Raw genomic sequence first — 16,182 nt, forward strand, 5'->3', positions numbered from 1 at the left:
CTTCTCCACTGGGACCCCACAATGTGGAAGCCCAGTTTGAATACCAATGAGCTATGAAGAGAGGCGGTACCTGTGGACTTTCAATGAGCACGACAACCAGATGGTGGGAGCCCATGAGGATCTGTGTTCAGGAAAGGACTCACTCCCATCTGAATCCTGGCAACCCTCTTTTTTCCTTTGACCCTGTTTCATACCACCTGGAAAAGGAGGGAGAGGCCCAAGCCATACAAGTACTTTTGAGGACTGCATGTCTAGGAGACAGGGCAAGGTGCCCATTTACAGCCGGTTCTGGCCTGTCCCTGGAGAAGGCTGCACCAGCAGCACCCCTCTCACACAAACTGTTCCTCTCTACAAACCAGCTCTGCCCTGGCCTGTGGATTCAGTTCATTAGCAATTTTAGATTATCAGGAACTTCACTCTTAATAAAATGACAATTTTTAAAAATGTTTTATTACAAAGCTTCTTTTAAAAAAATGCTCAGCACATTAACTCAAACTGGAATGACAAACGTTAGGATGACAGTTTTGGGCAAAGGCTGTGCCTTGCTTTTTTAAAAAATGGGTACATCAATGCTCATTTTAACAACTGGCATAAAATCCCACTAATTGGCTAATAAAAACAGATACAAATACAGAACATTTAAAGTAATAACAATTCAAGTGCTGGGCTTTTTACAACAAGGGGGTGATAAGGAAAGAAATGAAAATTCACTGCAAACCAGTCTGCTGAACGCATCTGTTAAGGTTTACTGTTTAAAAAAAGAAAAGAAGAAAACAGAAGAAAAAATAAACTGAAATAGGGCTGCCAATTGCTACCAACAGAGTGGGTTTGGCTATTACATTTATTTAGCTCTACTGAACACCTTACAAGGGCGGAGAAGCCACTATGTGTTACAGGCAATTCACAGAGAAGCCACTTACCAGACAAGCTGTCTCAGAAAAAGAAGGCTTCTTTTTATGTCATTATTTCAAACTTTTCCAGAACTTTCAATTTTATTTAAAAGCTCATAGCTAGCAAAATATACAAGAAAATTAAAACTAAAAAGTGTAAATTAAAAAAATTCAAGTTTAAAAAAGCAAAAAAAAACGATCCTTTTGCACTGTTAAATAAAAGCTTTAGGAGAAAAGAAAAGAAAGAAAAATGAAGCAGAAACAAAGAGGGAACTCTTCCATGAACTCCTCCACTGGGGTGCTGATGGATGTGCTGGTTGCTGGCTCCAGTTGCGCATGACAGGCAAATGCAGCCAAGTTACCGTCCTTGCCGAAAGGTTACAGGTTTGGATGCAAGATGCTCTGGGAAGTGCACGCAGATATGAGGGGAGAAAAGCTGCTCAGCTGCCCCACAGCCTGCTAGCATTCTCATGTGCTTTTACATTTCCTTTTAAAAAACCTTTTTATGCTTTATTTTGGAACTTGGCTCTTGCAGTAGACGAAAGAGGGGTTGGCAGTGATTGTCTTTATGGATCAGCGTCTCTAGCAGTGACCTCAGGGTAAAATTGATGTCAGTGTTCCTTTGGGGTCGACTGGGCAGGCCGTGGAGACAGTCTGGGTTTTCAACAAGCTTCCATCTCCAGAAGAGGTCCTGGGGTCGCTGCCTTGGCTTTGCACGTTGGGAATGAGCTTCGTTTTCCACCTCAAGAAGGAACAAATGAAATGCTATTAATATGAATTTGCCGTAGGCCTTAAGATTATAACCTCTATTCCATACCATATATGTCTTACAACCTCTGCATTTAATTAATCCATTTTGTTAATTTGGGGATGGCTAAAATGAATTGCCCTATCAGTCAAAAATCCTGAGAGTACACTACAGAGTTAATATAGTGACATTTTTACTTTGGTTCCATGTATACGTATGCCCAGAGTTATGATGTGAAGTGTAGTGAATACTCTGGGTCATGGTAAACAGAACAAAAAAAAAGTTTGAAAAACACCAGTAGGAAACAGGCAAACATGAATAGGGAAGGCGGGCAACAGCCAGATCAGGGAAAGATGTGTCATTCTGCAGTGTTTGGTGTTTTTGGTCCACTGTGGGAAGCCACTGTATGATTCTACATAGGACAGACATAATCACATTACCCAACGCACTGCCAACTCCCGTGACGCTATGTGCTCTGTCCGCTCACACTCACAGCCCAGAGGATACAAACCGCTCCCTTTTTCCTTAAGATCTTACAATTTTCAAGATTTTTTTTTCCTTCCTAACATCAAGGATCTCTAATGATAGCCTCGGAAAGGACACTCAGCAAATATGTTAAAATAATGTTGCCAGATATTGGTGATAATGATTTTCAAATAAGAGAACTCCCACATCCTCAAAGCTTTAATGATCTGAGATTTTTTAAAAAGTGATTAAAAGTAAAATGTAACATTGTAACAAGATGAGACAAAGACAAAAGGAAAGTAAAAGCATGGCAAAGTTCCGTTCCTTCACTCCAGAGAGCACCTGCTTCCGCTGCTTTGAACTTGGGGAGGCTGCTTTCCTTTGGTGGCAGCGATGCTGGAAGCACCTTCTCAACCTGGGTCCCTTGACAGCCTCAGATGAATCCCAACACTTTGTGCTTGTGATTGTGCTATCCGTGTTACAAGCACAAGTTTCCTTTTAGAAACTCATTCTAAATAATGGTGGATTATCGTACACTTTCATTTCAATGGAAAAAGAAAGTAAAAGAGAAATAAAAGGAAACTTTGACATAGTTTAATAATGAATACAAAAGTCTAGATGGCAAGTTACAGTCCACAGAGTACTTTCCATGGAAGGATGGTGATCTATGGAATGGGAACTGCGAGGACACCTGCCCTTCAGGCTTTTGGAAAGAGAGGTTTGGCTCCTATATTTAAAGTGCTCACAAAGTGCACAGCACAGAGCAAGCCCTGCAAGCAGGTTAGCTAGTATTATTATTCCAATTATGCCCAATGCGGCCCCTAAAGATGATCAGAACTGCAAAGAAGCTATTTGTATACCTGGGTAGCTACTGAAAAAGCAAAAACCAACCAACCAACAAAAAACAAAATAGGAGGAAATCAGCCACAGAATGATTTCAACTGAGGAGGTCCTCCAATGACAATTTCATTTTCTATTCTCCTGGAAAATCAACCATTCCCTGTTTAACAGGAAAACACTACAGCATTGTGTTAATCACTATATTATCACTTGTACTCAGCTTAAGAGAGGAGGAGAAGGCACCCTTAGGTAAGGCAGTGAAGGGACAAGAAGACTGGTGGAGCCGGAAGTGCAGGGTGCTCTAGATTGGAGGTGTTAGCCCTGCTTGAGAATGGGGCCACAGCAGGGCCATGGAAGTTGTCTGTACCTCAGTACTTCACAGTTCGCTGTGCCAGGCCCACAGAGGTATGGATCTTGCACGCAGGAGGATCAAAGAGCTACGAAGGACCCTGCCTTTCTACGGAGAAAGAAACAGGGCTCTAGCAGAGCCTGGGGTGGGAGAGAGGGCACCCCACAGATTCCTATTTACATTATAATTTTGCATCACAGATTTTCAAAGGCTTGGTCCAGGTTGCTCTTCCTGGGAAGGTTTTCCTCTCAGTCTGACATGAAAACATTTAGTTTCCTGGTGAGGCCTGGCCTTGCAGTCCTAGGCTAGCGCCTGAGACAAGCACTGGGACTCAGAATAGACTCGCCATTGGCAGCCAGGAACGCCTGAGGGAGACAACCTGCCCTTCTGTTGGGCCATCCCACCACTGCCTGGCACAGCGAACTGTGAAGTACTGAGGTACAGACAACTTCCATGGCCCTGCTGTGGCCCCATTCTCAAGCAGGGCTAACACCTCCAATCTAGAGCACCCTGCACTTCCGGCTCCACCAGTCTTCTTGTCCCTTCACTGCCTTACCTAAGGGTGCCTTCTCCTCCTCTCTTAAGCTGAGTACAAGTGATAATATAGTGATTAACACAAACATGGGTGCCCAGAGATAGCCATTTACCTAAAGGATAGTATGTCACTTGCCAAGAAAGAGTCTATATCTCCTAATAAAGTCATTTCTTTCCACAGTCTCACATTTTCCCACCTGTTATTTCCTTATTCCATGGGGTCACCTTGCAAATTCTCCTGGAAAGTTGGCTTCAGAGAACCTCTGTACAGTTGCTTACCAAAAAGCAACTAATCCCTTTCAGGGACTAGTGCTTAAAAAAAAAAAAGAGCAAAGAAATTCCTTCACTATGAAATGAGGCAGTTTGTCCCTGGTGGCTCTTTTAAAATACAGGGATGTCAGGGGAGACCAAGTCTTACTTCCAAGTGGGAGAAACGGGGGCCTTGTAGTGTTGCTTTACAGATATAAAACAGGTCCAGTCCAGATTATTTTCAAGAAACCACAGGCATGAGGCTCCAGGGGCTGGAGCTTTCCCACATCTAAGGCTTCACTGGGGGGCTGCGGCTGAAGCTGGGCCAGGCCAGGCGAGCCCCGGCACAGCCCAACCCACCAGTGAAGTCTGCGCAATCAAAGCCAGCAATTACTGCTCTCCGGCTGCGGCTGGGCTTCAAAGGGAGTGAGGCAAGGCCCATCTTACATATGTTCAGACTTGGGCTCCCTCCACCAGGAGTCACCACGCATTTGTACTGGGGATGCAAAGGCGGCACAAGACCCCACCCCACCCCATATAACCGAACCCCCCTGATGCTCTCCTGGACCAAATTCCAATCTTGACAAAATATCCCATCAACCAAATGGAACCATGAACCCAAATGGGTAGAGTTCCTTACTAAAAGCCCAAGCAATAAAGGTGAATCTAAAGATTTCAAGAGTGGGCCTGTTTCTGGGAGGTCAACAGCACCGACCCTGGGCCAATAGGGCTTTACAGACCCTGACTCAGGAGTGAAGAAAGGGAAAGGGGGAAACTCCTTCTCTCTAAGCCCAAATAAATGTAAAATCCTACCAAAAGCAGAGCGCTTGGCCAGCTCATGTCCTGGGGGTTCCTCCCCAGGCTGTCCTCTGGAAGAAAGGGCCAAGGAGACAAGTCTATGGGTGAGCTCTGAGGTGGTGGAGTGGAGGGTCAGGAGCAGGCAAGGGCCAGCCCTGTCAGGGTGCCACTCAGGGCTCACTGGCCAGTCAGTTTAAGCTGTCCAGGCCAAGGCAAGGGCAGCAAAGCTGGTGTCCAGGAACAAAATGCACCCCTGCCCCATCATGTAATATCACTTCCTTATTCAGAATTGGTGAGGATACAAAAAAAGTGAGTTGGAATAAAAGACCCTTTCTTCGTCGTCCTCTTCCTTTTACGCCACTCTCAAATGCTACTAACAAGAGGCAGGAGCCTTAAACGATGTGCAATTTGAGGGGAGAATATTAGAGATTGGTTTTATGAGAGGTAAACAGATTCACAGATTTTAATTGCAAAAATGGAATTCCAGCATCACACCACACACCTCATGCCAATTGTCTCCATTTTTACACCTTGGGAAAAACTGACAAAAGCCTGTGATTTGAGGGTGTGAACTCTTCTGCTGCACAATGTCATGTGTGTATGAAGGAAGAGAGGTACAGACTTCTACAGCAGGAAGCAAGCGTGACAGAGCTAGTCTAATCCTGTTTTTTTAGCAGAGACTTAGGAATATGGTCATAAAATGACTGGCCCATGGTGACCCCTAGAGAGTCCCAGTGCTGGGCTGTTCCCCAGGCCTCCTGGCATCATAAAAGTGACAGTCTTGTTGACTTGAAGGTGGTCTTGTCTGCAAGAAGCTGGTGAGGGGGAAGGAACAAAAACACTGTCCACTACGCACTGATTTGCCAGGCACTGAGACATGGACTTTAGAATTTCACATTATCATCATTACAGTTTGCATCTTCCCACCCACTTACAGATAAGGACACTGAGGCTACCTGAAGTTCAGTAACTTGCCAAAGGTCACCCAACTAATAGGCAGCAGGATGAGCCTCTGAACTCTCAACATGTGTTCTCTCCACCATACCTTGGAACTAAATTATCATTCACTTTCTTCTCTCCTTCCTACCTTCCATCATTCTGTCTGTCCATCCCCAGGCAACAACCCCTGTATCCTGGTGGAGGCAGTCTACATCTGTAACAGTGCAGCCACCCCCAGGATATCACGCTCTGTTTGAAGAAAGATGATAAAGAGAAACAAACGCATAAGTTAACTTTGAAATTTAAGTCCCTAAGACTGGAAATATAACCTACAAAAGCCAGCTTCAGCTCCTTGACAGTAAACATTACCCAACATTTGAGAAAAAAGAAAAATGAAAATGTGTGGTTAGGAAGGTTAACACTGAGTTTTATTTCTGCAGCTGAATGACTCCTTAGTCCCAGCATTCAAGACTAGTTAGTTAATCCCCTAACCACAAAGCTCTAAAGCAAAAAGATTCCCAGAAGCTGGAGGTGGGAGGAAAGGGGTCATTGCCACTCCTGGATTCATGTTCTACCAAGGCAAGGCTTCCTCTCCTGTGGCTATTCAGAGTGAATTACCATCAGCTCAACCAGACTTTGGCAATGTCAAGATGACTTTGAGACAAGCCTGTGACCGTTAATGAATTACTCCAGGGGAATTTTTCTGTAGCTACTGGTTTCTCTTCCTGATCAGCCTAGCCCTCTGTGTTTGTCTCCTCTGTGAGGACATGTGTCCTATTGGTAGGCCAGACCTCCTGGTGCAGGTCATGACCGCTAGATCCTTCCTACCACGGGAAACATGGGAGAAATGGTCTTGAGCAAGTTTTGAAGGAGAGAGCCTCAAAAGCCCATTGTAGTTCTGTCAGCTGAAGTGCTTCCAGAGGGTAATAACTAGCTAGGTAGACCTCCCTCATCTACTCACCTCCAAACGCTATCCAATCCACATTTCTCTCAACAGACGTTCTCTCACACTAAAGATGTTAAGTTCACCTTCTACAAATGAGGTGACAGGATCAGGGCACACTTTGGTCTTTTTTTGTTTTGTTTACCCAAACCAAGCCCTTCCACAGTTATGCCAGCATTTGTGTGTGCACCTGTGCATCTGGTTAAGCACAGGGAGGTGATAACTTGTATGGGTTAGAGTGTGGGCTCTAAGGACTGACAGTCCTGGGTTGGGTTTGGATCCTGGGTCCATCGGTTACCACCTGGAAATCTCGGGCATGCACTCTGAACGTACCAAACCTGTTTCCTCATCTGTAAAGTGAAGATAAGAAGCTGCTCTACCTCATCAGGTGCGCTGCGGGATGTGGGAGACGTATGTGCAGAGCCGGGCGAGTGCAGGGCAGACGCCCTGAAGCAGCGTAGTGAGTGCAGTAACAGCAGAGGATGGAGAACTGGGGCTCAGAGCTGATGGTAATTCACTCTGCAGACGCAGCGCTGCTACTCGCCAGCTGCATGGCCCTGGACAAGTGATTATTTTCTCATCCTTCAGACAGAACTGAAATCTGTCCCCTCCACCCCACAATGGGGCTGCTACAGAACGAGAGGAGGCAACACATGCAGAAGCATCTGTTAAAGCCTCTGGAATGTGGCAGGTGGTCCATACAGGTTGGGACCATTTCTGCTGTTCCAACTTCACACGACACATTCGGGGCAGCAAGCAAGATTCATACTATTACAGAACTTCTGGTAGAAAATTAAGACCAACAGGGTATTCTGCCAATTAATTAAAATATCTCTTATGAAACAGAATGCTTCTAAAAGCATGATGCTAGCTGAGAAAAACTAATCCCAATACAAAAAAAAAGTTAGATTCACAAAAACGATATATAGGCAGTTAGAAAAATTTAGTGTAGAGATTGATGTAAACCTTATGCCAAAAAGTGAGTTTAATTTTTAATGCTTTTAATTTTTCTTTCATTCTGTCAAAAAGAATAAAGTTACTTTGCTAAAGGTCACAGACAGCTATGAGCAGCAGGATTTCCCACTCATCTGGCTCTCAGTAACATGGTAGCTTCATTTATGAAGAACACTGCTGAGGAAAAACACGTTAAAACTATCTCAAGGTATCACAGTAATGTCATGAAATTTATGTGCAAAAATAGCACATTTTAGCCTTTCTTAAAATAGCACATTTTAGCCTTTCTCTATACCCCAAATCAGACCCCATTTACTTTTAATTTACATATTATTCAATTAAGCTTCATTTTCCTGGTTCCTAAATCCACACAGATCAGAAGAAACATATTATTGTGGGTACAGGGTATAGTCCCAAACAGCAAAGGAAGCCACAAAAGAATTATTAAAAAGCAGTTTCTTAAAATTCCATGTTATTTGGGGTCATTTAGAATAGTATTATACAAATCACCATACTCCTTGTGGCATATATAATATTCACTGTAAAATAATGGCATGAGGTATTCGTATTCAAATCAATTTCAATGTACTCTGCTGAAGAAGACAGAGTTGCATCCAAAAGTGCTTTGAAAAATTACATGTTTTGACACTTAAAGATGTAAACCATATAGCTTCTCTGAAAAACTCCATTATCCAGAAGGGCTCATTTCCACACAGTTCCTCACAACTCAGTAACAAACAGTTCTATTAAACAAAATTTATCCAAAATACTTCTTTTTTATTCTATATTCTAGTGCATTGATCTTAATTCCATTTGGTAAGTTTTCATGAACAATACTAAACATGAAGCATTTCAAGAGGGTTTTAATGAACCTCATATACTCCTCTCCCTCTGCTATTATTTTTTAATGGCATCAGATCAGTCTTGCTACCTGAGGGTCTATTTCTCTATTTCTGCTCCCCAAGGCAACTTAAACACAATTCTAGCTCTTCTGATCATTAAGGAGAGAAAAGATAATTGATGGAAGGGATACTGCCCATTCTTAAAAGCTTTCACTGTACCCATGAACCCAACCCAATTTCTTTATTAACACAGAGCTGTCTAGATAAAACCACCCCAACTATCAGCTTCCTAGTGAGCTATAGCGGACATCTGTCGGGCTGCTGTCCAGCTCTCCTCTCCATTATCCCAACTCCAACACTGTTAGAGCAGTGAGCTCCTGACAGCCATTTTGTACAATGTGACCTTCTCCTCTGGCCACAGCTGATTATAGATTGGGGTGGAAGTTTGACCCAAGTTGGGCTAACCAGAGTCGCTTCTACAGAATTTGAAAGAATTATTGTCTCTTTGGGAGATGATATTGTAACAACATATAGCTTGAGTGCTCTAAACATAAGGCTCAGAGAACTGAGAGAGTCAATCTGGGAAGGGAAGGAGGAAGTGATTTTCAGGGAGGGACAGATGGAAGCAGCAGGGAAAGTGTCTGGACAGCTTTCCAATTTCCAGTTTTCTTTTTGGCCCAACTGCTCTACTGTCCTTGGATTCCACAAGATGCTCCTATATCCTTAAAACACATTTCCCCTTTCTCCTTAAGTGAGCACCATTTGTTTCCGGCACTTGCCATCAAAAGGCTCCCATGAATGCACCTAGGGATCCTGGAACAATGGCCAGGATGTGAAAAACTGCAGTCCACGCATAACTGAGTCTAACCACACTGTCATTATGCTGCCATTGCTATTTAAGACAATGAAACCAAGCCTGAGATTATCTGTAGTCAAGTGTCATCACCTTGTGAATCCTGTACACATTTCCTGTTAGTCTGTGACAGGTGTCACAGGGATTTCTGAACACAAGCATAAAAAGAAGGAAGACACAGGTAGGCCGTCACCTCAGACTGGAGCATTCCCAGAAACGACACATATGGGAGCCTCTCCGGGCCACCACAACCTCCACCTCCTATGCAGCGATCTGGCAATCCATGCAAGATAAACAGCACGCCAGCAGTCGCTTCCACAGGACCTCACCACTGTGGTAAAATGGCAGCACAAGGTACCCCCAACTGGGCTAGGCCACTATTCAAAAAAAAAAAAAAAAAACCACTGCAGGCCAAGTGTGGGACAGTGCTGAGCAGGGTGCAGAAGTTTTCCCAGGAGGTGCCGACCTGTGGCCAAGGGTAGCTGCGCAGCCACGTGTTGCCCTGGCTGCCGTGCGACACTTGGTTCTCCCCAGTTTGACATCCCCCTTCCCCTCCCTAGATGCAGGCTTCCTTCCCAAGAGTTCTGAACCCCCAGGGGTCTTTTGCTTGTTTGGTAACAATTCTAGCTGAGGTGCTTTCTAAATATGTTACAAAAGATAAAGAATGGAAAACAGGATGTCATTTTTTCACTTTCTAGTTGTTGAAGCCTTAATTTTTACCCTGAGACTTGGACAAGACTTAAGAGTTCTTCAGCTGCCTCCAATTTCCTTTCAATTTTATTAATTTTTAAGAATCTGGCTTTGTTTTCTAACTAAACATAACCCAGCAGCTCACTGATATTTAATGTTGGTGACTACATTGTGGAACAGAATTTGGAACAAACATTAGGCAAAAGTGTCAAACTTACCAGAGTGAGCTTCAAAAATCATAGGAAATAAATATTTTTCTCATTGAGACCACTGAAAATATTTAGAACACTCCCTGGCTGCTCTAAGAGGACAGGGCTAAATGTTGGACACCAGGCACAGCTCCTGGCAGACCCTCAGGGTTGCAGTCCTCTCACTGGTGCTTCTATTCCCACTCTGCAACTTGTCAGCTCTGTAGCACAGCTTCACAGGACCCAGGAGCCCCAAGTTCTCAACCCTTAACCACCTCATCAGGCTCTCGAACATCATCATCAAAGAAAAGCCAGAAACAATCTTCTTAAAAAATGTAAATCCAAGCACTGAACATTAACTACTATATTGAGCTTAGCAATTACCTCTCATGCTCATCTCTTGGCCCTAGGGAAATAAAGGCTGAAGTTTTTATTTAGCCAAATGTGTTTAAGCAGATGATTTTTTTTATCTTTTTTTTTTTTTTTCCCCGAGACGGAGTCTCTCACTGTCACCTGGGCTAGAGTGCAATGGTGCTATCTCTGCTCACTGCAACCTGCGCCTCCCAGGTTCAAGTGATTCTCCGGCCTCAGCCTCCTGAGCAGCTGGGATTACAGGCGCCTGCCACCACACCTGGCTAATTTTTTGTATTTTTAGTTAGAGACGGGGTTTCACTACGTTGGCCAGGCTGGTCTCGAACTCCTGACCTCATGATCTGCCCACCTCTGCCTCCCAAAGTGCTGGGATTACAGGTGTGAGCCCCTGTGCCCAGCCTTTTTTTATCTTTTAAAAGTAGCCTGTTCCTTCTTTTAAACTAACTCTCATGTCATACAACTAAAAGAAATAAAGTATCTAAAAATATCTTTTCAATCTATATAATTTAAAGGTGGTAGGCTTTTTATATTTGTTTTGATAAAGTAAATATTAATAAGCCAATTTTGAAAATTGTTTAATTAGTAAACTCAGAGTCATAATTCTCTCCAGCACTTCAAACATTATAATTCTTTACTTCTTTAATTTCATATAAATCTTAAGTCAGGAAGAAAGCAAAGTTCAGTATTTGATAATAATCTCTAACTTCTGACAAATTTTAAGGTGGTATTCCAAATCAAACATATCCCAAACACCAGAAACTCACATCAATTCTATTACTGTGCTATCAAACCCCCAAATTCCGCCACCAACCTGACAGCTCGAGTGCTATCTACCACAGGAAGCCTTCCTTGATTTCACTCCGATTTATATACTTCTTATTCTCTTTATTTTTATATAAGGCACAGCATGCCACTTCTTCACAGCATAAAACATACTCTTTTATAACTACCCACTTAATATGTCTATATCTTCTTAAACTTGAAGCTCCTCCAGGAAGGGATAGGATCTCATTTGCAAACACCCCCACCGCCTAACAGGATTCGTGACTTACAGCAGTCCTCACTAAATGTTTGCGTGGTGAGTAAACAAGTGATTAGTGTTCATGACACCGGTCTTCCAGCTGGACAAAGGACAGTGTGTGCAGTCTTATCCCCTGAGGCCCTGGGCTCCCAGCATTCCCACAAATGACTAGTCCGAAAAGCTAAACAGATGAATCTGGCCTCTCCCAAAGATCCTGCAGCTTGGGGACCACCATCTCCAACCTGGAGGAATGGCTTTTAGGGATCTCATTTCCAATTATCCTAAAAGTTTCCCCACAGTGTTGAGACCACATTAATGGTAATTTATTTGTTTCAATCTGATTTCACCAGGGTGAAACATTTTTTAATGCTCAAAAGTAGAAACATACGGGGAGACAGGAACACAACCGGGTGAATAAAGCACTGATTCAGGAGCCAGCCTCTCCGCTGGGCTGCATGCGGCCACTGCGCTGGCGCTGCCCATCAAAAAATGGGAAGCATTCCATGAAACCCATAGGATCTTTAAAGAAATGAAAATACAAGTTTTTTGTTCTTACTTCATCACCTAGGTTGGAGTGCAGTGGTGCAATCATAGCTCACTGCAGCCTTGAACTCCTAGGTCCAAGCTATTCTCAATCTCAGTTTCCTGAGTAGCTGGGACTACAGGTGTGTGTCACCATGCCCAGTTAATGCTTTTTATTTTTTATACAGACATAGTTTTGCCATGTTGCCCAGGCTGGTCTCAAACTCCTACCCTCAAGTGATGGTATATACCCTCTGCCTCCCAAAGTGCTGGGATTACCAGCATGAGCCACTGCTTCTAGCCTAGCTTTACCTTTACTCGTCAACTTCCCTTCAGAATTGAAAACCAGCTGTGTGATATTCCACATCACACTCTGACAGACTGGTTTGTTTTTTGCGTTTTTTGAGACAGAGCCATGTTCTGTTGCTCAGGCTGTAGTGCGGTGGTATAATCTCAGCTCACTGCAGCCTTGACATCCCGGGCTCAATAGATCCAACCACCTCAGCCTCGCCAGTAGCTGGAACACACCACCGCACGCAGCTAATTTTTGTAGAGAAGGGATCTTGCCATGTTGCTCAGACTGGTCTCAAATTCCTGGGCTCAAGCAATTCACCCACTTCAACCTCCCAAAGTACTGGAATTACAGGAATGAGCTACCATACCCAGCCTGGAGGATTGGTTCTAATCAAGTATTTTACTATTTCTAAGGTGAGGTCAGCACTAGTATGACTGTAGTCTGGCAAACAAGGAACCATATTATTACATTAGTGGAAAATCAAACCCTCAAACTAGAGGCAATGCTTCGAATATCCCAGGACACAAGGTAGCCATCCTGGGGAGGAAGGAGGGACACAGGGGATGATCTGTACAGGAACTGAAGAACATCCCCATCATGTATAAGCCATTTTCAAGGTCGTGCAGAAGCTTTATAGTTATACAGAGCCACTCAGACATAAAATGATGACTATAAATTAGGAAATAAAAAAAGAGATCTGAGTCCCTATAATAACACTGGGAGGCAGTGCAGACCACACAAAAGCAAAGCAGACCAGAAAGTTGGACTTGAGGGAGAGACAGACAGGGATCTCAGAGGACGCTGGGCACAATCCTTCACTTATACTGAGAAACCAGAGGCTTTAGGTGACCTGCCCCAGGCCGCACAAATTTATACAAGAGCTAACCTGGGAGACTGGGTGGCCTCATTCCTGGGCTCTGCTCTTTCCATAACGTGACGCTCTGTTCCCTTTGTCTTTCATTTCTTTGCCAGGGCTCTGTTCCAGAACAGAAGACCCCCTCCATTTTTCTGTAATAACGGTGGTTATTTCTAAGTGCCACCTCCTCGGAGGTGCCTTTCCTGACAATCCAATCTAAAAGCAGACCCCTAAGTTACTCCCTAACTTATTTTTATTATAGTACTTATATTTTCCTGTTTGTTTTTTTTAATCAACTACCCTCACAGCAACATAACAAGCACTGTGAGAATAGGGACCTTCTTTGCTCCATCCAACACTCTATTTCCAGGTCACACAAGTCTCCATAGGGCCTATCTTAGGTGCTCAATAAATGCTGAATCATGACTATAACAAGTCAGCTACTATACAAACAGAATGTTTCTGAATTCCTACAACAAAGGAAGGGGTGGGGGTACAACAGAAATAATTATCATGTCTAATTTATGGAAATCTTTATGAAGGTGGATCTGAGCTCCTCTCTACTCTACAATTCTTATCCAATAACTGCCAGTTCTGGTCTCCAAACTCGGATGGTGTGCAGGGCAGTGACTTCAAAGGCTGCATGACTGATCCGGGAATGAGAGGGAGGGCAACACCAGAGACTCTGATTACAGGAAGCTCAACCAACTGGAGCCTCACCAGCGGCGGGATGGCCTGAGAATGTTTTAGGGGGGTAGGGTGGAGAGAGAGGGTTATTTTTGTTTTTCTTGCGCAGGATAGAGAGAACATCTTAACCTTAAGAAAATATAAATAAGTGACAAGAAAGCACAATGACAGCTGTGACTTGCTAGAAAAAGATGTTTGGGATACACTTTAGGACAAAAATAGCCATCTTTTACATCTAAAATACCATAGGATGCTCATCTTGAAGAACACCAAATCGACTACCAAACTCTGAAATACAGAAATACATTTTTCCATGCTTTTTAATATAAATAGTTAGCTTTACAGATTTTGGTGCAAACAGAAGTGAGGTAAATCGAGTGCCAGCCCTTGGCACACTGCCATTCTGAGGGCTTTCTGTTTACAGGCAGAACATGAAAAAACTTTTGGCCATTCCTAAGTGTTCAGTAATTAAAACAATTTTTTTTTTCAAAAAAAAAAAAATTACAAGGCTTGTGATTTTGACTAGATTTACTTCTATTGTGAAGCCATGAGCTACTGGGGTGGGTGTCATCAGCCATGCTTACATCCTATCTGTGCTTCTAATAATGGAGCCAGGTGGCTGGCTCAGAAGAGGTTCTCGATTAATAGCCACTGAGTTAAAATGAGTATATTATTTTTTGATCTTATATGAAGGGATGGTCCTCCTTTCACCTGGAGGAAAGCTTGCCACTCAGTATTAGTTTAGAAGAATTTTGATATCATAAAACTACAGTGATGGGATTTGGAAAAACCTGGGGAATCTGAATAAAGATGAAGAAAGTTTCACAGAGGAGAGGGCAATTGACTTAGGTCTCAGTAGGAGGAAGGAGTGAGTCTGAGCTCCAACTGTGTGCTGGCCGCTGGGCAGATCCTGCACATCAACCACCACAGGGGGTAGGTATCGATATTCCCCTTTTCCAGGTAAGGAAAATGAAGATTAAAAAGCTGAAGTAGATTGCTCAGGGAATCAACTGATTTAAAATTCAGATCTATTTGGTACCAAAATCTCTGCTGGCCCCTTTTGGGCAAGTTGTTTGAAACCTCAGCACCAAAATTAAGTTCTAAAAGTTTAGGTAAGGGCCACCTGGTTTAGTCAAAAGCCAAATGAGCTGCAGTAAACACTCTTCTCCTAAGAAACACTGCACACGTCTATCCAGTCCTCTGTAGAGGAAATGGGCTTTCGAAGCCCAGGGACAGCATGTGCGGTGCCCTCTTGCCATGTGGGGAACTGCTAATAATTTTGTTTGGACTGATCATAGGACTCAGAAGGGCTAGGGTGAAAGTGAGGGGAGGCAGAGAGCAAGAGTGACTGGGGGCAAAGCTACAAGGGCAGGACTGGGCAGACCCACACACTCAGTGGCGGGTGCTTTATCTTTTAGCCAACGGGAAGTACTGGCTAAGTTTCCAGGTCGGGAAGTGATGCACAATCTGAGTTGTAGGAAATCCCTCCAGGAGCAACGTGAAGGATGAACTGGTAGAAAGAAAGCCTGGAGGCAGAAAAATTATTAACGTGTATTACAGTACTCCAGATGGAAAGTCTGAGCACCTGAACTAGGGCTATGGCAGTGGTAAGTGTGAGAGAAAAGGCTCAAGACAGACCCCAAAGACAGGGATTGGTGATTGACTGGATGTGGGTTCTTAGAGAGGATAACCAAAGGCAGCTCCTTTGAGAACTGTTACCAGGAGAAGAGGTACACACCCTGCTAATTTAAAGCTTAATAAAGACCAAGCCTTAATTTACAATGTCAGGTTCCTTGGGCTAGTGGTCATGTGGAAATAAATAAAAAATTATAGTAAAAAGAAATAAAATAAATATTACTTATAAATACTAGAGCAAAATCTAGCAATAGTTACCAATAAAGAGAAATACTTGATAGAAGAAACACAGTTAAATAAGTGCCCATGCCATATTAAATAATAGAAAAAATATAAAGCATATATAGCTTTCTGACTAGAAACAAATACATTACTTTTGAGTGACTACATGTGATTTCAATTGAGAAAAAGTCTCTACTGAGCAAAAGCTTGGGAGTTCTGGGCTAAAATGGTGCTCCTCAAACCCACCCTGGATTTGCTGAGTAAGATGGCATTTTGCTTACTGTTTGTTG

General features: G+C 43.3%; 1 protein-coding gene across 8 annotated transcripts in view, besides 1 other annotated feature; it reads right to left on the reverse strand.

Moving 5' to 3' along the window:
* Positions 429–16,182, reverse strand: part of LEF1 (lymphoid enhancer binding factor 1) — a 121,385-nt gene continuing 105,631 nt past the window's right edge. For all 8 annotated transcript variants that reach the window (NM_001130714.3, NM_001130713.3, XM_005263046.4 and 5 more), the window contains one exon: positions 429–1,632. In NM_001130714.3, the coding sequence (NP_001124186.1) occupies positions 1,553–1,632 (80 nt within the window). In that variant the 3' untranslated portion in view covers positions 429–1,552. The remainder of the gene's footprint in view (positions 1,633–16,182) is intronic.
* Positions 9,356–9,857: an enhancer, noted in NCBI's record as "H3K4me1 hESC enhancer chr4:108977631-108978132 (GRCh37/hg19 assembly coordinates)". NCBI's record gives its function as "activates a minimal SCP1, AML or CMV promoter by ChIP-STARR-seq in primed H9 embryonic stem cells {active_cell/tissue: H9 hESC(primed)}" and the evidence as "EXISTENCE:reporter gene assay evidence [ECO:0000049][PMID:30033119]".

Source organism: Homo sapiens, chromosome 4 (assembly GCF_000001405.40).
Source record: "Homo sapiens chromosome 4, GRCh38.p14 Primary Assembly".
In the NCBI taxonomy this organism is placed as follows: domain Eukaryota; kingdom Metazoa; phylum Chordata; class Mammalia; order Primates; family Hominidae; genus Homo; species Homo sapiens.